The sequence below is a fragment of the Homo sapiens genome, chromosome 11 (genome assembly GCF_000001405.40).
Source record: "Homo sapiens chromosome 11, GRCh38.p14 Primary Assembly".
NCBI lineage: Eukaryota > Metazoa > Chordata > Mammalia > Primates > Hominidae > Homo > Homo sapiens.
The window spans coordinates 20,362,920-20,384,497 of record NC_000011.10 but is presented as its reverse complement, the minus strand read 5'-3'; the positions used below and the strand labels follow the sequence as shown (position 1 = coordinate 20,384,497).

General features: G+C 42.6%; 1 protein-coding gene across 5 annotated transcripts, besides 5 other annotated features; it reads right to left on the bottom strand.

The window, feature by feature from the left end:
* Positions 1–715: 715 nt before the first annotated feature.
* HTATIP2 (HIV-1 Tat interactive protein 2) lies at positions 716–20,784 on the bottom strand. 5 transcript variants are annotated; one of them, NM_001098520.2, is made up of 6 exons: positions 20,586–20,784; positions 20,066–20,261; positions 17,217–17,324; positions 7,781–7,918; positions 2,259–2,320; positions 716–1,518 (listed from the first exon to the last, which is right to left on the bottom strand). In NM_001098520.2, the coding sequence occupies exons 1-6, from the start codon at positions 20,684–20,686 to the stop codon at positions 1,293–1,295; spliced, it is 831 nt and encodes a 276-aa protein (NP_001091990.1). In that variant the 5' UTR covers positions 20,687–20,784; the 3' UTR covers positions 716–1,292. The 5 variants fall into 5 exon arrangements, with proteins under 5 accessions (NP_001091990.1, NP_001091991.1, NP_006401.3 ...); NM_001098521.2 differs by having other exon boundaries at positions 20,700–20,784; NM_006410.5 differs by having other exon boundaries at positions 20,749–20,784.
* Positions 16,052–17,251: an enhancer, noted in NCBI's record as "P300/CBP strongly-dependent group 1 enhancer chr11:20388793-20389992 (GRCh37/hg19 assembly coordinates)". NCBI's record gives its function as "activates an origin of replication core promoter dependent on BRD2, BRD4, P300/CBP, MED14 and CDK7 cofactors, with strong dependence on P300/CBP, by STARR-seq in HCT116 cells {active_cell/tissue: HCT116}" and the evidence as "EXISTENCE:reporter gene assay evidence [ECO:0000049][PMID:35650434]".
* Positions 16,659–16,803: an enhancer, noted in NCBI's record as "145 bp enhancer 64 fragment used in the MPRA reporter construct; PK_construct_3522". NCBI's record gives its function as "activates an SV40 promoter by MPRA in HepG2 and K562 cells {active_cell/tissue: HepG2 | K562}" and the evidence as "EXISTENCE:reporter gene assay evidence [ECO:0000049][PMID:23512712]".
* Positions 16,726–16,736: a transcriptional cis regulatory region, noted in NCBI's record as "NFE2L2 motif; enhancer activity is reduced when this motif is scrambled". NCBI's record gives its function as "necessary for full MPRA enhancer 64 activity {active_cell/tissue: HepG2 | K562}" and the evidence as "EXISTENCE:site-directed mutagenesis evidence [ECO:0005528][PMID:23512712]".
* Positions 20,364–20,783: a silencer, noted in NCBI's record as "silent region_3202". NCBI's record gives its function as "represses an Ori minimal core promoter by ATAC-STARR-seq in GM12878 lymphoblastoid cells {active_cell/tissue: GM12878}" and the evidence as "EXISTENCE:reporter gene assay evidence [ECO:0000049][PMID:35858748]".
* Positions 20,435–20,577: a silencer, noted in NCBI's record as "fragment chr11:20385467-20385609 (GRCh37/hg19 assembly coordinates)". NCBI's record gives its function as "represses an EF-1alpha promoter that drives an FKBP-Casp9 reporter gene in an ReSE screen in HepG2 liver carcinoma cells {active_cell/tissue: HepG2}" and the evidence as "EXISTENCE:reporter gene assay evidence [ECO:0000049][PMID:32094911]".

The window sequence follows — 21,578 nt, the reverse complement described above, 5'->3', positions numbered from 1 at the left end:
ACTGAAGCTTGAAATGTACTTGGCATACAGTAGGCCTTGGAAGAATTGACTGAGTCCCTCGAATCACTTTGCTTCCCTGGTGCAGACGTTAAGACAAGTTACATTAACATCTTTTGTTCTATGATGGAAATTAGCAATGTATGTTCCTCTTGGCTTTGACCCTTCCTTCTGCATCTTCCTTTGCCTTAATTTTTAAAGTGCAGCAGCATGAGCACTTTAAAGTTTGGTGGCATAGAATTTTACTGGCTATGTGAACATTTAGTAATTAATCACTAGAACAAAGGAGAAACCCAAATATTTCGATTTTGTTCATCCACAACATGTAGTAACAATCAACTGGAACTACCTGGAAATATACGGGAACAGAATGCTTTTGCAGGGTGCTTAAAAACACGATATATGGGATCTATGGGATCAGGCAGACCTGGGTTAGAATCCTGACTCTGCCATTTCTTTGCTTCAGTTCTTCAGATTTGGACTCTTGAGCAAGGCACTTAACCACAGTGAGCCTCATTTCCCCATCTAAGACATGAAGATCATGATAGTATCACTTTATAAGGATTGTTTATAAGAGGGTTAAAGCACAGATAACACATGTAAAGACTGGTACTTAGCAAGCATTTGGTAAATATTAGCTGCTATTATATCACCCCATAGGCTGAAATGCTGCATATCACACTACATGGGCATTTTCAAGCAATCTAAGAGGCACCCAGGAGTTGTCCATTCATCTTTATTCCTTTATTTAATCCTCCCCATGTATTATATAAGCTTAGGTATATAACTTCTATTACATAAAGAAGTAGTAAAGGCACAATGTTTACTTACACAATTACATGTAGTGAATTAGCACTTTTGTAACTCAGAGACATGAATGTCAACAATTTTAGAGCAGAGCTCATTTGCACGGTCATAAGGTTTTCATGGCTGCTGTGACTCTGCAGACAAGCATTTCAAAGCAGGCCCCCCAGCCAGTGGCATCGGAACCAGTGGCATCAGGGGAAGTATAAACAAAGAAAATTACAGATTATTGTGCCCACACCCCAGAAATTTTGATTCAAGTTTGAGATAGGGCTGACAAATCTTTATTTTTCCAAAGCTCCCTGAGTGATCTATATGTATAACCAGGCTCTGAACCACTGATGCAGAGCACCATCATTTCTTGATTGGAATGGATGCCTGAGGATAGTAAAACAACAAAGTTAAAACATGCTGACTTTTTTTAGACCCTGAAATTACCGATTTGGTGATGGGTGTTAAGGTTGACAATAAAAACCATTTCTCCAATGTGGTCATGGCTTGAGAGAGCCATGCGCTTTCCCCAGGTCATGGATGGCCTTGTTCTCCAGCAGTTCCATCTGCTTGTCTCTTGGTCTCACCACATTGTTCAGCATTGCTCTAACCACGGTCACCACAGGCACAGAATGCCCACTGGCCCAAGAGTCTGGTAAGGAGCCAAAGAACTTTCTAACCAGCCATTCACCTGGGCGAGATTCTTGCCTATCACATAACAGAACTCTAAAATAAAAAAAAAAAAAAAAGAAAGAAAAGCAGAGGAAGAGGTGGTAAATTGCACTGAGACCACAGTGGGCATTACGGACAAAACTGTATCCCCTCAATATTCTAATGTTGAAGCCCTAATCCCCAAGGTGTCTATATTTGAAGATAAGGCATTAAGGGAAGTAATTAAGTTTAATGAGGTCTTAAGGATGGAATAGGACTAGTGTGATGGGACTGGGGTCCTCATAAGAGGAAGAGACATCAGAGGTCTCTCTCTGTCTGCATACACTAAGAAGAAAGGCCATGTGAGGACACTGCCAGAAGGTGGTCTGTCTGCCAGCCAGGAAAAGAGGCCTCACCGGACACCAACCCTGAGGGCACCTTGATCTTGGACTTCCAATCTCCAGACTGCGTGAAAAAAAATTTCTGTTGTTTAAGACACCCAATCTGTGTGGTATTCTGTTATGGCAACCCAAGCAGACTAATACAGTAGACGTAAGGTTTTATTTGGCACATGAAGAGGATTTAAGAAGGCAGCAAATGCTGTCCAGGAAGTTCCAGACTATTCTGAAGCAGGCCCCACCATCTACCCTTTCTTTCTAAGCAAAAAGGTGTGTCCTTCAGAGAAGCAATCTACCTCTAGCCAATGTCTTTCATATCTTAGATATTTCAGCTGTCAGCCTTTCCAAATGAAAAATTAGTATCTAGGGATTAACCATCAGTGGCATACTCTCATTCAGTATAAATATTATACTTACCCAGGCCTAAATACAGAGTAACGATCAAATTTTAATTCTTCAACCTTGGCTTCTACTTCTCCCTATTAAGAAAAAACACATTTTCAGTATTTAATCGCGACCAGCTCACCTGTGTGAAGTTTAAGAGAGAATAATTTGTGGTTTTGAGATAATCTGCTTTTGCAGATCTCAATACTCAAAATATCCTTATCTAGAATTTTAGGTTCCAAGGAGTCTGGGAAATTAAGGAAGAGATCATTTAATCCTGATGTGTAGTCTTTCATTTAAAAGATCCACTAAATGAGTGAATGGCTGCATAGTCAGTCCTCTCACTTTATTGATATTAAAACAGATTCAGAGAGGGTAAGTCATACGTTAGTACAATCATAAAAGAATATCCTCTATTTAGTCCAGAATTCATGTTGCATGCTAGCAGACACTAACGTTTTTTTGGTTTATAGGTAGTTCCAGTGGGTCAGAAAACCATAGACCCACTATATTACTCACTTCTTAAACCTCACAAAATTTTAAGACAGATTACATCTAGATGATGCTTTAAATCTAATTTGTTAAATAAAGCATGCATTTTCATGGCAGGCATCTCTGGAAACAAAATGCCTGAGGAGCTCAGCCCACAGGCACTTCCAAAGGCCTGTGAACTACCACACGGTCATGCACGCCTCCTTCTTGGCCTGTGTGTACCACTCAATTGGCACTTAACCTGTCTCATCACAGACATTTAAGTAGCTATTTTTAAATATCTTTTTCTTTTTAAAAATTTTTTAATTTTAATTATTTATTTATTTATGTATTTTTTGTGTGTGATAGAGTCTCACCATGTCACCTAGGCTGAAGTGCAAGGGCATGATCTTGGCTCACTGCAACTTCCACCTCCCAGGTTCAAGCAATTCTCCTGCCTCGGCCTCCCAAGTAGCTGGGATTACAGGCATCCGCCATTATGCCTGGCTAATTTTTGTATTTTTAGTAGTGACGGGGTTGTCACCATGTTGACCAGGCTGGTCTCGAACTCCTGACCTCAAGTGATCCACCCGCCTCAGCCTCCCAAAGTGCTGGGATTACAGGCGAGAGCCACCGCGCTTGGCCATTCTTTTTTTTTTAATAGGTGGTTTTTAGTATATACACAGAACTCTGTAACCTTCATCACGATCTAAGTTTTAAAATATTTCATCACCCTGAAAAGAAATCCCATATCATTAGCAGTCACTCCTCGTACCCTACCCTCTGGGGACCTAGTCAACCACTAATGTACCTTCTATCTCTATAGATTTGCCTATTCTGGACATTTCATATAAATGAAATCATATAATTCGTGGTCTTTTGTGACTGTCTCCTCACACTTAGCATAATATTTTCAAGGTTCACCCATGTTGTAGTATGTATCATTTCTTTTTATAGCTGAATAATATTCTATTGCATGAATATATCACATTTTATTCATCTATTCATCAGTCGATGGCTATCTAGGTTGTTCCCACTCTTTGGCCATTATAAATAATGCTGCTATGAACAGTCATACACAAGATTTTATGTGTACACACATTTCTTAGCTTTTTTTTTTTTTTTTTTTTGAGATGGAGTCTCACTCTGTCGCCCAGGCTGGAGTGCAGTGGCGCAATCTCAGCTCACTGCAAGCTCCGCCTCCCGGGTTCATGCCGTTCTCCTGCCTCAGCCTCCCGAGCAGCTGGGACTACAGGCACCTGCCATCACGCCCGGCTAATTTTTTGTATTTTTAGTAGAGACGGGGTTTCACCGTGTTAGCCAGGATGGTCTCAATCTCCTGACCTCGTGATCCGCCCGCCTCGGCCTCCCAAAGCGCTGGGATTACAGGCGTGAGCCACCGCGCCCAGCCCATTTCTTAGCTTTTTAAAAGATTTGTTTTGTCTCTATTAGCAGTGTGCATAAAAGAGATACCATAGCAGGCTGAGACTGCTATCCTTAGAAAGGCCTGTTACAAGTTTGGCCCCTGGCTTGTGCTTGCAACCTTGGATTTTCGGTGTGTTCCCACCATTCCCTATCTGATAAGGGTCATGTACTATGCCTAAACTGTCTGTACAAACAATGTGGTTTATGCTGAAAACTTGCCTTTCTTCTGGAGGGCTGCAATTTGGCTAGGCCAATGTGCCTATGTAACTGGCTCCCATAAAAACCCTGCATTCCTAGGCTCAGATGAGTTTCTCTGGCAGAAAACGTTCATCGCTGGAGACATTAAGCACATCCTGTGCAAGCTCTATGGGGAGAGGCCTCTTGGAAGCTTGTACCTACTTTCCTCCAGACTTCACCCGACACACCTTTTCCCTTTGCTGATTTTGCTCTATATCCTTTCAATGCGATAAGTTGTAGCTGTGAGTATGACTATATGCTGAGTCCTATGAAACCTTCTAGTGAATTACCAAACTTGGGGGTGTCTTTGAGGATCCCTCAATACAAGCAGATTATAAACTCCTTGAGGTCAAGGATGATACCCAATAATAAAATGTCACATGTCTGGAAAGTATACCTTCACCCTGAATAGATGAGGAAACCAAAGCTTATAAACCCTGAGAACAGAGGACATGAGGCCCATCCAGTACTCTGGGCTCCACATCCTGACACGTCTCCCCACGGCACCAGCAGAATGCCCATAAAGCACATGATTGATCCAAGCCCCCAGAGCTGGCCCACCATGAATGAATGCAATTGAAACTTCATTGAGTAGAATAAATGTTCCTAAACAATAAAGGAGTTTCTAAAATTGGGTGGGGCGGGGGAGTTCATACACACATGGAGGCTGAGAAAATAGGCAATAAATACTAGGAATGTTACACACAGTAGTTGAAGGATTATTTTGGAAAGATAATCTTTCCAAATTGTAAAAGCAATTATATATTGTTCAGCGTCATTCTGGGTTGGATCATTTGGTTGTCATTTCTGTCCTTTATTAATCTAATTCATAATCCCAGGCTGCAGGTAATGCAGGCCAATTGCAGTGAAATCAGAAGTGTCTTTCCGTTGTATTGGCCTTAATATTTGCTGAGGCTCTGTCACGGTCCAATCTCTGCTGGGTCCCTTTTGCATGTATTAGTGACAAAGGCTATTCATTACTTAATAGCTAGTGGCATAGGCCTTGGAATCAGCCTGGGTTCAAGCTCTAGCTTTGCCGCTTAACAGCTGGTGTTTTTGTTGTTGTTGTTGTTGTTGTTGTTTGTTTTGTTTTGTTTTGTTTTTGAGACAGAGTCTCACTCTGTCCCCAAGCTGGAGTGCAGTGATGTGATCTTGGCTCACTGCAGCCTCTGCTTCCCGGGTTCATGCAATTCTCCTGCCTCAGCCTCCCGAGTAGCTGGGATTACAGGCATACACCACTGTGCCAGTTAATTTTTGTATTTTTAGTACAGACAGGGTTTTGCCACGTTTCCCAGGCTGGTTTCAAACTCCCAGCCTCAAGTGATCTTCCCACCTCGGCCTCCCAAAGTGCTAGAATTACAGGCGTGAGCCACCGTGCCCAGCCAACAGCTGGTGGTCTTAATATCACAGTACCTGTTTCCACGCAAATGCACATAAAAGCCCTCAGAATACTGCCTGGCTCATTTAGTGTTAGCTATTTTTTTAAAAATCTGGTTAAATCATTATTATAACCCAGTGAGTCAGTAGTAACGCCTTTATCTTTAACAATGAGGAAATATCTTATGTATATTTTCTTTCCTAAAAGGTATAAATGTTGATCTTGCTAATGAGAGCAAAAATCCTATTTGATAACCTTTCTCAGAACCCACATGTGTCAGTGTTTTAAAAAACAAGTTGGGCCTGATCCCTCATGCCTGTAGTCCCAGCTGCTCAGGAGGTTGAGGCTGGAGATTGTTTGAGCCCAGGAATCTGAGGTTGTAGTGAGCTGTGACCGCACCACTGCACTTCAACCTGGGTGACAGAGCAAGACTTTGACTCTAAAAAAAAAGGAAAACAGATTTTTTCCTTTTAAGAATTGTTCTAAACTCTGACAATTAAGTGGAAACTTTTCCATTCTTCATGTAATTTCATTGGTGGCTCACTGATCTTCATCTGGTTCAAAATACTATTTTAGGATAGGTGAGATATGGCTCAGCTATAAGCCATGTGAAAAAAATCTGGAAATTTTTAATATTACAGGCTGATCATGAGCCAACAACATAATAAGGATGTTTGGTAAAATAGTAACAATCTTATATCCTATTTTTTTAAAAAAACATAGTGTTCGGAGCATGAATAGTACTCCCAGTGCAGTTCCAGTATAATATCACTGCAAAGTTCACCCTTAGCAAAGTGATGCAGTCATGAAGGAGCTAGACACAGGAACCCATAAAGAATGGTGCAAGGATTTAAAGGTGTTATGCCTGGGAAACATACAATTAAGGGGGTCATAATCTCCAAATGTCTTAAAAACTACAATGCAAAAGAAAGACTGGACGTATTTTTGTTATTTTAAAAGGCAGAACTGATAACAATTTGTATTTACATAACAATAAATTTCACTTCAAGGTAAAGACTTTTGGACAAGTAGATCTGACCCAAAATAGAAAAAGTTGGCTAACGAGATAGTAATCTCTGTAGTGCTGGAGATATTTAAGCAGAAAGGAGATGAACTTCTGTAAAAGGACTTCACATAGGAAAAGTCTATGGCTGAATGACCTCTGTGGCTCTGCTGCTTAAACTGTGGGCACCTGGGGTGCAAAGGGAGGCACACAAAGACAAAGCCATGCCTATCTTCCAACAGCATCAATTTAACTGAAAGGTAAGTTAATAGAAACCTTTTAAATTAAAATAAACAGGGATATGTATAGTACTAAGAATAGCAAAATGTGCATAAATTTTTAAAAGATAAAACGTTAAGACTTTTAAGAAAGTTGAGGCCAGACGCAGTGGCTCACACCTGTAATCCCAGCACTTTGGGAGGCTGAGATGGGCTGATCATTTGAACTCAGGAGTTTGAGACCAGCCTGGGCAACATGGCAAAACCCCATCTCTACCAAAAATACAAAAATTAGCCAGGCATGGTGGCTCATGCCTCTAGTCCCAGTTACTTGGCGGGGCAGAGGCTGCAGCGAGCCAAGATCATGCCACTGCACTCCAGCCTGGGAACCTGTCTCAAAAAAAAAAAAAAGAAAAGAAAGTTGAGTCTGTAACTAGAATACTGCTTCAGGATAGATTTCTCCAAATCTCTACACAAATAAAAGCTCTTCTTTCCGCTCAGTCATTAGGGAGACTGACGGAAAAGTTTAAGAATCACTGCCTCCAAGTCTCTTCCAATGCTAAGCTGCCATGCTGACAGTCAAGGCTGGAGATGCCATATCTCATTCCATTTGTTGCTGGATAATTAATAGAGAGGAAGACATTGGAAATTACCTTTCCAATCATTCCTGTTTACTAAATATATTCCTGCAGTCCCGTAGCCATACAAATGCATAATATGATGCATTTGATGGTTTTTGTATTATATAATATTTTATATTCTTTAGTACTGCCAAATAGCTAGGGTTCTCCAAAGTGTATGAAAAACAGAAACTTGCACAAACCTTAACTTGTAGATATAAAAAATTGCTTGATTTATCAGCTCCTTTAGAGGATAGCAAGTTGAAATGTTTGCACCCTCCAGCTTTTGCCAGCTCTGCAGACTTCAGCACATAATCTCGGTCAACACGAACAAATCCCTCCTAAGGGGGAAAAGGACATGAGTTATTTCCAAAAAGCAGCAAGTTCATCTTAAAGATTACTACTTGGCTTGGGTAGCAGGCTGGGAGGCCTAGAAGGATGGAGATCTAAATAAAATGTGTCCAAGCAATACATGAAAGTCAGGCTTAGACCCTGGGAAAGGCTCCAGGTCTGGTCCTCTGGATAGGCACACCAGCTTTAGCAGCAAGACTGGACTGCAATAAGGAAACAAGGACAATGACATTGAAACACAGACACCAAACAAATCTGCAAAGAACAAAGGGAACAGTAAGATCAGGCTGAGAAACTACTTTTAAGCCAGACTTTTTTTTTTGTCTTAATAACTTCACAACTTTACACTCCTGTTTTCTGTGTCAATTCTAATGTGGTAGGGTCTCCGAGTATGGGTGAGGACACTCCCCAGGCACTAAGAGAACAAAGTCTATTTAATTCCCAATTTTTGTGTATGCTCTACAATGTACCTCACACATTAGTAAAGAATGCATCCTCAAACGTTTTTATTAATGGGTCTCTAGTCAAAAGTGTTTGGAGACACCCAATCTAGATTCAGTCCAGTGAAGGCAGTGGCTGGGTCTTTTTTCTTAATTCATCTCTCAGCATCAGCACATGTCCAGCATATGGTAGATGCTCCAAAAATGAATGAACAAAACGCCAATGAAAGCAGAGAAAAGGTAAATCCAGTCAGAAACAAACAGAACTAAGTGGCAATAAAAGGGGGAGGGAAGAGAATGACACAAATAACAGAATATAGACTCACTTCCAGGGCCTAACTGAAAAGCATGCACCTTTACCCAGAAAAGGGAATTCCAAGGAGTAACAGTCTCTTGAGACCACCATAAATTCTGGCATCTTCAAACCCAAGACAGCTGAAGACAAGTCTAAAGTCTATTGAAGCTGAACTTTATAGGTAGTCACAATTACAGAATGAGGTCTTAGAGTAGTAGGAATTCCAAATCTGAAGACTGGACTACTGCCCCAGTGATTGATTGATTGAGACAGTCTTGCTCTGTTGCCCAGGCTGGAGGGCAGTGGCGTGGTCTCCACTCACCACAACCTCTGCCTCCTGAGTTCAAGTGATTCTCCTGCCTCAGCCTCCCAAGTAGCTGGGATTATAGACACATGTCACCATGTCCGGCTAATTTTTGTATTTTAGTAGAGACAGGGTTTCACCACGTTAGCGAGGCTGGTCTTGAACTCCTGACCTCAGATGACCCGCCCACCTTGGCCTTCCAAAGTGCTGGGATTACAGGTGTGAGCCACCGCGCCCGGCCTGATTTTTTTTTTTAATTAAAAAATTTGCTCCTCAGTAGTTACTGATTCTAAATGTTCTATTTGGTAGGGCGATGTGTATCTTTCACAGAATGTTAGAAGGTACCTTAGGAAATATCACATCCAGTCCCCTCATGATATAGACAGGAACCAAGGTCCAGTGGGCGGGTGAACTGTTAGCTGGGAAGTGGGAGAGCCGAGAGCAGAGTGCAGATTCTGGACTCTGAGCAGTGCTCTTTTCACTGTACCCATGTTCCTTTTTTATCCCCCACCCTCTCTCGCTAATGAAAATGACTAATCCGTGATTGTGGTAGGCAGAATAATGGTCCCTCAAAGATGCCCACGTCCTAATCTTTGTGAATATGTCATGTTACATGACAAGGGGGAATTCCATCACAGATGGTATTTAGGCAGAAGCAAGATGAATCATGCTAAAACAACAACAACAAAAAAACTGAATTTATTTCACCAGTCAACTGTGTCATTTTGTTGTAACAAACACATTATTAAAATCAGAGTTCTAGTGAACTGGCATGAGGGGAAGAAATAGATGTGGAAGGGAAATTCAGTGTTTTAGAAATTCAGTGTTTAGAATTAGGGTGCTAATCAGCTGGCCTTGAAACAGAGAGATTAGTTTGAATTATCCATGTGGGCCCAATGTAATCACAAGGGCCCTTAAAAGTAAAAGAACGAGGCAGAAGAGCAGGCTGGAGTAATGCAACCTAAGAAGGGCTCAGCTACCACATTGCTGGCCTTAAGGATGGTAAGGGGACCACAGGCCAAGGAATGGGGGTGGCCTCTAGAAGCTGAAAAACGTATGGAAATGGTTTCTGTCCTACAGCCTCCCAGAAAGGAATGCAGCTCTGTCAACACCTTGATTTTATCTCAGGTAAACCCGTGTCAGACTTCTAAGATGATAAATTTGTGTTGTCTTAAGCTGCTAAATTTGAGGAATTTATTAAAGCAGCAATAGGAAACTAATACAGAATTCAATTTTAAAACAATACGCCCATGCAGATTTTTTAACTTTGTATGGAAGTGTATCATAAAAGTAAACATAAGTATAGAGCTCAATAAATTTTCATAAACTGAACATGCTCTGCCACCAGTTCCAAGATCAAGAAATAGAACATTACCATTACTGTAAAAGCCTTCCTCATCCTCCTTTCCCATCACTCACAAGTACATTTTTAACTATATCCACCACCTGGAGGACAGTGTTATTTTTCTGCCTTACTTTTTCTACCTTAGTTTGTGGGTAATATAAACTTACCTCTTTACTCACGAGTCATCACCATCTCCTTTTGTATACTTTTTGTTGTATACTTTGACACTCAGTCCTGAACAACGGACTTGCCAAGCTGTCTATATACCGACTCAAATTCATGCAGTTGCTTTTAAAATTAGTGTAAAGCAAACCAATTTAAGTACTCAGCACATCCTGAGAGAAGTGATTACCCTCAGAGCCATTCTCCAAATGGAGACTTTAGATGTGCTGAAAGTGTGCCAAGAGAAACAGCCCAAAACTACATAGAAAAATTCTAAGACACTAAATTTTTCTTCCACATCTGTTTCTTCCCCTCATGCCAGTTTATCAGAACTCTGATTTTAATGACAGGTTAGTTATTCACAACAAAATGACACAGTTGACTAGTGAAATAAATTCAGTTTTTTTGTTGTTGTTGTTTTAGCAAGATTGATTGGAAGGATTATTATAGTAGTCTGTTAAAATACTTTTTCTTTCATCCGTTTCTTTAAAAATAAGGGAAAGATTCAGCCAATCACAAGTCTCCTGACCGACGCTGTCTCTCTCACTTAATCCAGAGCCAGTAAAAGGATAATTTGATTAAACTGAGACCCTAATTTATTTGGCTTTAGTTCTGGATCAACCTCTCCTTAATAGAGTGCTGTCGTCTCCAATTGTTTGATGAAAATTAAAGTGACATAAATACCATGGGACTTTTTCAATCTGATTAGTCAGCGAAGGCACATCAATACCACCCCGGCCATCAGACTTTGGCGTCCTTCCTTTCACCCGCCTCGCTAACGACTGACAACCGCTCCTTGAAGGACGAGCACCCACGCTGCTGCAGAGACCCCCACACTTAGCCCATCATCCCTGCTCAATGGGGCCTGTTGACAAGGTGCCCATACCTTTCTCCATTGCTGTTCTCTGGACAAAGCTAAATATTGTTTTATTAGCAATCAATGGCTGTTAATCCAAAACGATTTCACAAATCCTCTGAGCCTTCAAGCTCATTATAAATACGCGTTTTTCCAAGCCCACTAAATTTTGAATTTCACTTCCGTCACCCTGATGGCGTGGCCTTTTAGCTGGTGAATGAAACTCAAAAGCAAAAGGGTCAACAGCTTTCAAAGACTTAAAAATCAAACTGAAGCATGGGTCCTGATGACTGACTAGGAGGTATCACACACCAATTTTCTCTGGAGTGAGGAAGATTCTATTTACAGATGAAAGGAGCGATCTCGAAAATCTTATTCATGCCCTTTATTGTTCTCCAATAGCTCGATTAAAAAAACAACAGAAAAACTAACTAAAGCAAGCTATTTCATATCTCAGAAACACAATTTTTAGAAAAACTGTACTTAGTTTCCCTAACCATGTGGACAGACATCTCTTCTGAGAGTATTAAGTCCACATGTCATTCTGTCTTTATGATTCCATAGCCAATGTGTCCTGCTCTAAGCTAGGAATCTGAGTCCCTTCTAGAAAAAGGAATTAATTAAATAAGTTCCCACTATAAAGTCCTTTCCCAGCACCCTCTCAAAAAGAATAAACACAGTATACTACACTCAGTAGAGATATCCTCATAGGCTCCACAACATCAAAGGCAGCAAATTCTCCAACGACTCTTAAGTCTTACTAAAATCCAAAGCTACTAAGTATTTCTTCTAATCTTCTTTACCAGTGCCTGAAAACTAAAAACAACATTCTGGCTTCAGAACAACTCATCCTAACAAGGTATAGTATTTCAGTGCTGACTGATAGGACAAGTTAGCACGTCTAAACGACTCAAGAAGGTCATGGGGTCAGGCACGGTGGTCTGTGGTCCCAGCTACTCAGGAGGCTGAAGCAGGAAGATCGCTTGATCCCAGGAATTTGAGTCTAGCCTTGGCAACACAGTGAGACCCTGTCTCTAAAAAATTAATTAATTTATAAAAAAGTAAATCATGGGGATCTTTTTCCAAGAAGGGTGGGTCTATCATTCTGTAAAGGTCCCATTCAGCCCTATTTCTGCTTCAGGTTCTTTCTCCTTCACTCCCTTTCAATCCAACCCTATAAATTAGACTAGAAAACAAAGATGCTGACAAACACCAAATGGTATAATCTGAGGCACCTTTTGTTTGTGTCCTGGAGGGCATCTCCATATTTGATGTTCAATGGTAGGGGAAAGATCTTGGTTAGAGAAGTTCTGGATAGATAAATAAAATCAAGCAGATACTGAGGATTCCTGGGTCAATCTATATGTTCTTGAAAAAGTTTTCCAATTGGATATTCTTTCTTCTGTGTTTCATAGAGTCAAAGAATTTTTCAGGCCGGGTGCGATGGCTCATGGTAATCCCAGCACTTTGGGAGGCCGAGGCAAGCAGATCACTTGAACCCAGGAGTTCAAGACCAGCCTGGGTGGGAAGCATGGCAAAACCCTGTCTCTACAAAAAAAAATACAAAAATTAGCCAGCCATGGTGGCGCATGCCTGTGGTCCCAGCTACTTGGGAGGCTGAGGTGGGAGGATTGCTTGAGCTGGGTAGGTGGAGGCTGCAGTGACCGAAATCGCACTCCTGCAGTGAGCCGAAATCACACAACTGCACTCCAGCCTGGGCGATGGAATGAGACTCTGTCTCAAAAAAACAGAAAAATGTTTAAGAATTTTGCAGTAGGAAGGTGGGTTCACTGGTCACCTCCTTCTGACAGACAAGGAGGTAGTGGCCTCCAAAAGCTAACCAGCAAACTCCAGGCTCCATAGCTACTTGGCAACCAAACAGGGCCTGTGATCTGGGTCCCTTGAACCAGCTAGGACCTCGCCACTTCACAAGCCCCCTCCTAGACATCAAATAAACAACAGAGATTAGAACAAGGGTGGGCAAACTTTTCCTGTAAAGGATCAGACAGTAACTATTTTTAGCTTTGCAGGCCTCTGTTGCAACTATATAGCTCTACCATTATGTTAATAGCACAAAAGCAGCCACAGATAATACATAAAGTAATAAGCATGGCTGTGTCCCAATACCACTTTATGTATAAAGACTAAAATTTGAAGTTTTTATATTTTCACATGGTATGACATTATTCTTTTGAATTTTTTAACCAGTTAAAAATATAGGCCGGGTGCGGTGGCTCACGCCTGTAATCCCAGCACTTTGGGAGGCCAAGACGGGCAGATCACGAGGTCAGGAGATCGAGACCATCCTGGCTAACACGGTAAAACCCCATCTCTACTAAAAATACAAAAAATTAGCTGGGCATGGTGGTGGGCACCTGTAGTCCCAGCTACTTGGGAGGCTGAGGCAGGAGAATGGCGTGAACCCAGGAGGCGGAGCTTGCAGTGAGCCGAGATTGCGCCACTGCACTCTAGCCTGGGCAACTGAGCGAGACTCCGTCTCAAAAAAAAAATATATACATAAAGACATTCTTAGCTCACAGGGTGTACAAAAACAGGTGGCAGGCTGTATTGCAAACCTTTGAATTAGAAGAGCAGATCATTAGAATCAGAAGCCATAAGGTTCTAATGAGATGGGCCATGAGATGCCTAATAAATGTCACAGTGGCCACACTAATCACATTAATGACATCATCCACTCAACAGAAAACAAGAACCTGGACTTCTGGAGCCTACTACGACCAGGTGAGGAAACAAATGAAAAGGTGAAACCACATCGAACCACCTTGAATTCACTAATCAAATCCCTCTTTTGATACAAATAAGGGGAAATGAACTATTCTCACTGGCATCTCTAAGTTTTTGTGCTTCACTCCAGGACAATACAGATCTGGTTTTCAAAGGCTATTTCAATCTTCACTAGCAAACAAGTTACTCACTAAAGCAAGGCAAAGGTTATCCAGGACCACAGTACCCAGAAAACCAGCAAGTGAGGGGAATTAATACACCCCAATGCCTCTTGAAAGTAGGTTCAACAAGAAGGACAGGGTTGACTGCATCAGGATCTCCCAAGGAGCCTGCTAAAAATACAGATTCCAAGCTTCCAAATTCAGAGATGCTGATGCAGTAGATCTGGATCAGGGCCAAGTCAGGGAGCCAGTGCATTGACTGAACAACTGTGTTCTGTGAATATGAAAAGGAAGATTAGCATCTGCCCAGCTACTGTTAAAGGAAATAGTCTTCCAAACAGCTGAGGAAAGCTAATAGACCTTTTCCTAGAACCAGTGTCAATAGAAACCTGAGTAGACTGAATTTTGTGGGTTGGATTACATCCCCCCAAAATGCGTATGTTGAACTCCTAACCCCCATTACCTCAGAATATGACCTTATTTGGAAATAAGTTCATTGCAGATGTAATTAGTTGAGATCATACTAAATAGGGTGGTCCCTAATCCAGTATGACTAGTGGTCTTATAAAAAGGGGAAATGTGGATATAGGCACAGGTATTCAGGGAAAATACCACGTAAAGAGACACAAAGAGAAGGCTGCCATCTACAAGACAAGGAGAGGGCCTGGAAACTCAAGGGCTCAGCCTCAGAGCACTGACCAGCCTGCTGAGACCTGGATCTCAGACTTCTAGCCTCCAGAACTGTGAGACAATACGTTTCTGTTGTTCAAGCTACTTGGGTTATGGCAGCCCTAGCAAACTAATACACTGAACATCACATGGAAATAAGCCACCTACACAGAGGATCTCAATACTGAGACAAAAACGCTGAATTTCTTGAAGTTTCTCTGCTGGAAACACAGACTGCTAAGGCAATATATGAGGTGTTCCAGTTACAAAATCCCTAGTGAAGCGTACTAGTTTTGCCACTAGCTTTGTAGTACTCATATGATAAACCACCCAACGAACTTTTTTCTACAGAGAGGGCTGCTGACCCAGAACACCAGCTGGGATAAGCTTGGAAATCCACAACCTCCACTTAAAACACTATCGTTACTTAGCCACATATGAACTGTCACCTCTTTCATATTGGCTAAAGTTATCAACCTCCCAACTTTATATTGTACACAGCCCAAATTAGTTTTTTTTTTAAAGCCCCCAAAACAAACAAAACACTTTTCTGGTATAAGTGTCAGCTTGCTTTCCACCACTAACCTCTTAAATCATTTAAGTCCTAATTCATTTCTAAGCTAGGTGAATAGTCTAGGCTCATTAGTCTATTCTTGCTTACTAGTTAATTACTTTTATCTTTCCAAATTGATTTTAAAGGAGAACAAAAGGTATTGAATAGCCTGAGACGTGAAGAACCAACCCCATTAAAAAAGAAAATTCTGGATAGTAAAGACACACAATTCCTCTGATTAAAATTGCATTACCCATTTTGAACACAAAAAGCAGTTTAGACTTTTCCCTGGCACACCCTATAATGAGATTTGCCTTATGTCATGAAAATCAACCCTTCTATGCCTAATGCAGCATTTTGTTTTGCTGACTCACCACCAAAACCAGGTTGGCACTTGAGACAAACCTGCAGTGTCCTGGAACAAAAGTTTTTCAATGCTTTTGGAGGGCACACCACTTGTGACTGTGCCTGGGACAGAAAAGACTGCACCCACTGTTAAGCAGGAACATGACCCTTTCTAGGAGAGATAATGTGCCAATTCCTGGGAAAGTCAAACTTCTCTATAATCCATAGTTCCCATCACAGAGCTCCAATCCCAGCTGTGTTCCAGGACAGATAGGCAGAACTGCAGAAGGTATGGAAATACATCTTGATTGAAAGCATACATAGAATTACTCTTTGCATCACAAGGAGGCCCAAAGAAATACATCTGAATCTAACTACTCGGTTGGTATAAATGAATAGTTCTTCACTATATGCTCCCTTAATGTTTCAGGTGAAGGGGTCTGGCTTATAAACCTAAGGAGAATTCCCATGGCAGAGTCATAGTCATATATATATATATTTTTTCTTTTTTCTTGTTTTCCTGGGATTACAGGCATGAACCACTGTGCCTCGGCTTTATTTATTTATTTACTTTTTTCACTTTCTTCTGTTTTATTTATGTATTTATTATTAAATATTTTTAAATTTTACTTTAAGTTCTGGGATACATATGCAGAACATGCAGGTTTTTTCAGCTCCAGCATGTAAATTCTGCCAGAGGAATAAACTATAGTCAAAGTATAAATTAAATAAGATGTACCCGCACTAACATTTGCCCAGAATCCAGGTAGTAAACTCTGATTTCTAACTATGTAGTAAACTATGACTTCTGTACAGGAGCTGACTCAATTTAGAACACCATTAAAAAGAAAATAAAATGTGCGTTAAAAGACTTTTGCGTCAGTAAAGACTGAATCATTAGTGGGGTTGAATCATCGCTGAAGGCTGAGTCATCGCTGGAGGCTGGTTGAATCGTGCCTGTGTTCTGATGTTCTATTCCAGAAGTTTAAAGCTTGACATGAAAATAAGTTGAAGCAAATCACTCAAGTGAGACAGAACATTTCAAATTTCAAACATTTATTAAGGGGAAAAACAGCTGATTGTTAACAGCATAAACCAATTAGTTTTACTCAGACATCATGGTTTCCCTTAGTCAGGGGATGTAGTGATAGCGATAATCACAATAGGCAAAATCATGTAAATATTTACGACGTCTCCAGCACTGGGGCCTGAACTCAAGGATTACTTTGAAAGACGAACTTATCAGTACTATTAAAAGGATACCAAAGGTTAGTGCAGCATATAGAATCTTAAACAATAAAGGCTTATTCACATTTAAGCATTGCAACAGGCACAAAGAAAAAGAGTGAGCAAGAAAAGAATCCTTGATATTACTGGCCAGCAAAAAGGGAAAAGAGCATATGCCTTCCTTACCGCCCCAGCTTTCCCTCTGGTGGTACCCAGGCAACAGAATCCAACATCATGACCTTGAAAGGCAGAGGCGTAGTCATCCAACTTTTCAAAGTCCACCACTTCTTGATTCTAGGCAAGGACACAGTTGTATGTAGTTTCATGTTATTTAAACAACAGACCAAAAACCCCCTCTAGATTTAAAGACTAAGTTACAGAACATTACTGACAGGCCTGTCCACTTAACATCAAATTTTACAAATTCCTTTTCTCCAACCAAAAAGCAATGAACCTCAGTTGAAAATCAACAACACACACATATGTCCACAGTCTATATAACTGGACTAGGGGTGATCCAGATTTCTGAAGTCAGGTTCGATTATAATCTCTCTCTGGAAAAATAAAAGACCTGTGTGTAGCTAACCAGGAAGGAGACCACTGAGGTATGATGTGAGGGCAAGAGATGGCGTTTGGCATCTTAAAGAAGACCTAGCTGCAAATCTTGGGCTTGCTACACTCACTAGGCATGTAGTTACGGGCAAATTATTCATCATACACTACAGCTTTTTTTTTTCAGCTGTAAAATGGGGGTGATAATCTTTCCTTCAGTCCAATCCATGAACCATTTGCATTATAATTAGTCAGGGAGTGCTTAATAAAAAGGCATATTCCTACATCCCACACCAATAGTTCTGAATCAGAATCTGCACTTTTAACAAGCACCCACCTTAATTCTCATGCACACAGAAGTTTACGAACCTCCATCTAACCTTATCAGTTTGCTGTATAACTTAAAAAAGAAAGCATGATAAATTCCTATCATCCAAGAACTCCGATAAAATGTTGGTTTCCATCCTTACTGTCAACTCTGAAAAGAATTTTTCTGGCACTGCCTATGACACTAAAGAAAAATAGGGTTTCACTGTTAATCCCAGCACTTTGGGAGGCTGAGGTGGGTGGATCACGAGGTCAGGAGATCGAGACCATCCTGGCTAACATGGTGAAACCCCGTCTCTACTAAAAATGCAAAAAAAAAATTAGCCGGTTGTGGTGGTAGGCACCTGTAGTTGCAGCTACTCGGGAGGCTGAGGCAGGAGAATGGCGTGAACCCAGGAAGCGGAGCTTGCAGTGAGCTGAGATCGCACCACTGCACTCCAGACTGGGCGACAGAGTGAGACTCCATCTCAAAAAAAAAAAAAAAAAAAAGAAAAGAAAAGAAAAGAAAAAGAAAAATAGGGTTTCACAAAGTACCTAGTCAAACAGATGTGCCACCAAAACTCGACACTCAAAACACAGATTTCAATTTGTTTCTTTTCTTTTTTTTTTTTTTTTTTTGAGACAGAGTCTCGCTCTGTCACCCAGGCTGGAGTGCAGTGGCACAATTTCTGCTCACTGCAACCTCCATCTCCTGGGTTCAAGTGATTCTCGCACCTCCGCCTCCTGAGTAGCTGAGATTACAGGCGTGCACCACCACGCCCAGCTAATTTCTGTATTTTTAGTAGAGACAGGGTTTCACCATGTTGGCCAGGCTGGTCTGGAACTCTTGACCTCAAGAGATCCCCTGCCTCGGACTCCCAAAGCTCTGGGATTACAGGCATGAGCCACCACGCCCAGCCTTCAGTTTCAGCTTCTAATTACCATGAATATCTGACACAGCCCATGAAACCGGTGAGAACACATCTGCCTCAGCCTGAGGAAAGATGTCTGTTTTAAATAAACAAGACTTGATGGACCAAAGGCATTCACACCATGACCTGAACACAGACCTGCGAGAATCAAGAACATTTATTTGCAAGATGGCTTGTTATTTGAAATGTTCTTTCTATGAAACCTGTGGGGCCAAATTCTGTAGCTGTGGTGTCTTGAGATCACACTATGTTAATTTGTTGCAGTTCACAGATAATTCCCTTTAAATAAAGAACAGAATCTCCAAGAAACTCAGGCTTCTGATATTTAGGGGGTCATGACAAGACAGAAGTCTGGTATATCATTCCTATAATCATAAAAGTGTAACTTAGGCTGGGCGCGGTGGCTCACGCCTGTAATCGCAGCACTTTGGGAGGCTGAAGCGGGAGCATCATCTGAGGTCAAGAGTTCGAGACCAGCCTGGCCAACATGGTGAAACCTTGTCTCGTCTCTACTAAAAATACAAAAGTTAGCCAGGAGTGGTGACGCACGCCTGTAGTTCCAGTTACTCGGGAGGCTGAGGCAGAAGAATCGCTTGAACCTGAAAGGCAGAGGTTGCACTGAGCCGAGATCGTGCCACTGCACTCCAGCCTGGGGGACAGAGTGAGACTCCGTCTCAGAAAAAAAAAAAAAAAAACCTTTAACTTAGAGTGAAGGGAATATCCGATTTACAGACACAAGCCTGGGAAGTCAGGCAGGGCAAATTCTTGTAAGTGAATAATCCCACCTTTCACTGCCATAGACCTATCTCACTCTGCAAAGCAGTTTCAGAATCCCTGACAATATTAGTGTGAAGTGCGCAGGTTGACAAAATCAGCAAAGTGGCTGAGAAAATTCTCAAGGTCACCAGGGCTGCCTCTAGAATACAGCTTGTATGACCCTGAAAACAGTGCTCTTCTGTCTCACCAGCCCCCACCCCCATTACAACCCAGACCCAGCTTTATAGGGTTGCAGATGGAGAGAAGGGCTTTGCCCAAGACCACACAATGAGCGGGAGGGAGGCACACCTGGGCTACAATCCAGGAGTCAGACTTCTGGGAGGGACTCTCACAGACCAATCTTGGCCAAGTTTTGATGGCCTCTCACTACCCCCACCACTGGCAGGGCAGTATTCAGCCTTTAGGCATGAAATATGTTCACCTCGCAGAATCCTGGGGGTCCATTTGAGTCCCAGCTGAAATACCCACCACATTTTTATAAGCTTCCTCGTCGAAGGTGAGCTTCCTCCGGCCAATGAGCGTGACTTTGGAAAACAGGCCCTGCTCCAGGATTTCCTTTAAGAGCACTCTGCCGGTTTCTCCGCTGGCGCCCAAAATAAAGACGGATTTATTCTGCATCCTGAAGTCTTCCCGAAGCTTCGACAGGGCTTCTGTTTCGGCCATGCTGGGGAAATAACATCGACAGATGCCGGTCTTAGGGTGTCAGGGGACTGCCAGTCCTTATCCCGAGGAACAAGGGCTGTTTATCTGTTAGGGAGGAGGATATTGTTCTCCGCAGTCCGGGCTCTGGGGAAAGTGCTGAGTCACGTGCGGGGCGCGGCTCCCCGGCCATCGCCCGCACCTGAGCCAGCAGACCCATCGGAAGGGGCCCGAGCTGGAGGGTGCGCCCAGGTGCCACAAGCTGCTGGCATCACTGGGCATACCCCACGGTATCCCCGGCCCGGCCAGGAGACCTGGCCCAGCTCGGTCCCATACGCGGAGGGGTTACCTGGGGCCAGCCCCCGGCCCCGGGTCCTCACGACGCAGCAGGAGCAGGGCGGCCGCCAGAGCAGCCGCCGCCGCCGCGCTCAGCGCCGCAGGCCCGGCCATCAGAGCATCCCACCTTCCCTGGTCGGACCGGGGGGGTTGGAGGCGACGGAGACAGCGCCTACCCGGCTTGGTCTTCCGGGTGGCCTCGCGGCGACGCTGCCTCGCCCCGCCCACAGGGGCGGGACCTGGAGACGAACTCCTGGCACCCTCACAGGCGCGGGGAAGGTGACCCCGAGAGCACGTGCGCGGAGCCGCGACCCTTCCTAAGTTTGGAATCTGCAAGACCCTCTTCCCGCGTTTTCCCTCACCTGCTGGGCTCAGCTCACCCAGGCGCCAGCTAGTAGACTTGCCAGACTTGATCTTCAATGGTCCCCCCAGCTGGAATGTCAATTGTATATTGGCCATCATCTCAAATTCACCAAGTCAAAAACTTAACCCTGCCTACCCAACCACCCCAAACAGGAATAAAACAAACCTATTCCTAGCCTCTCTTGGGTGTCACTGTCCCTACATAAACATACACACACACACGCACACACACACACACCTCCTTCTACCCTGTCAAGTCAGAAATCAGGATTCCTTTGATTCCTTTCTTTTCTAGCCTTTCCACACTACAGACTTATCAAGTCCTGTTATCCCATCTGCCTTACAAATATTTCTCCCATGTAATTCAAGCTCGCATCATATCTCCCCAGAATAAATGGTCTACCTGCCCAGGTCCTGGCCTAATTCATCACCTAGATGGTTGAACCCGGGTGACCTTCCACACCTGTGATTCAGTCTTCCTAGCCCAGATCAGTGGTTTGGGACACAGGTATCTACACTGGGCCTGTCCTGGATCTTGGAAGTCCTGAACAGAGGTTAGAATGACAAGCAGAAATCTGAATAATTTCAGATTGTTCAGGTTTTGTTGGGAACATTGGTCATTTGGGGGCCCCACCTCCCATCT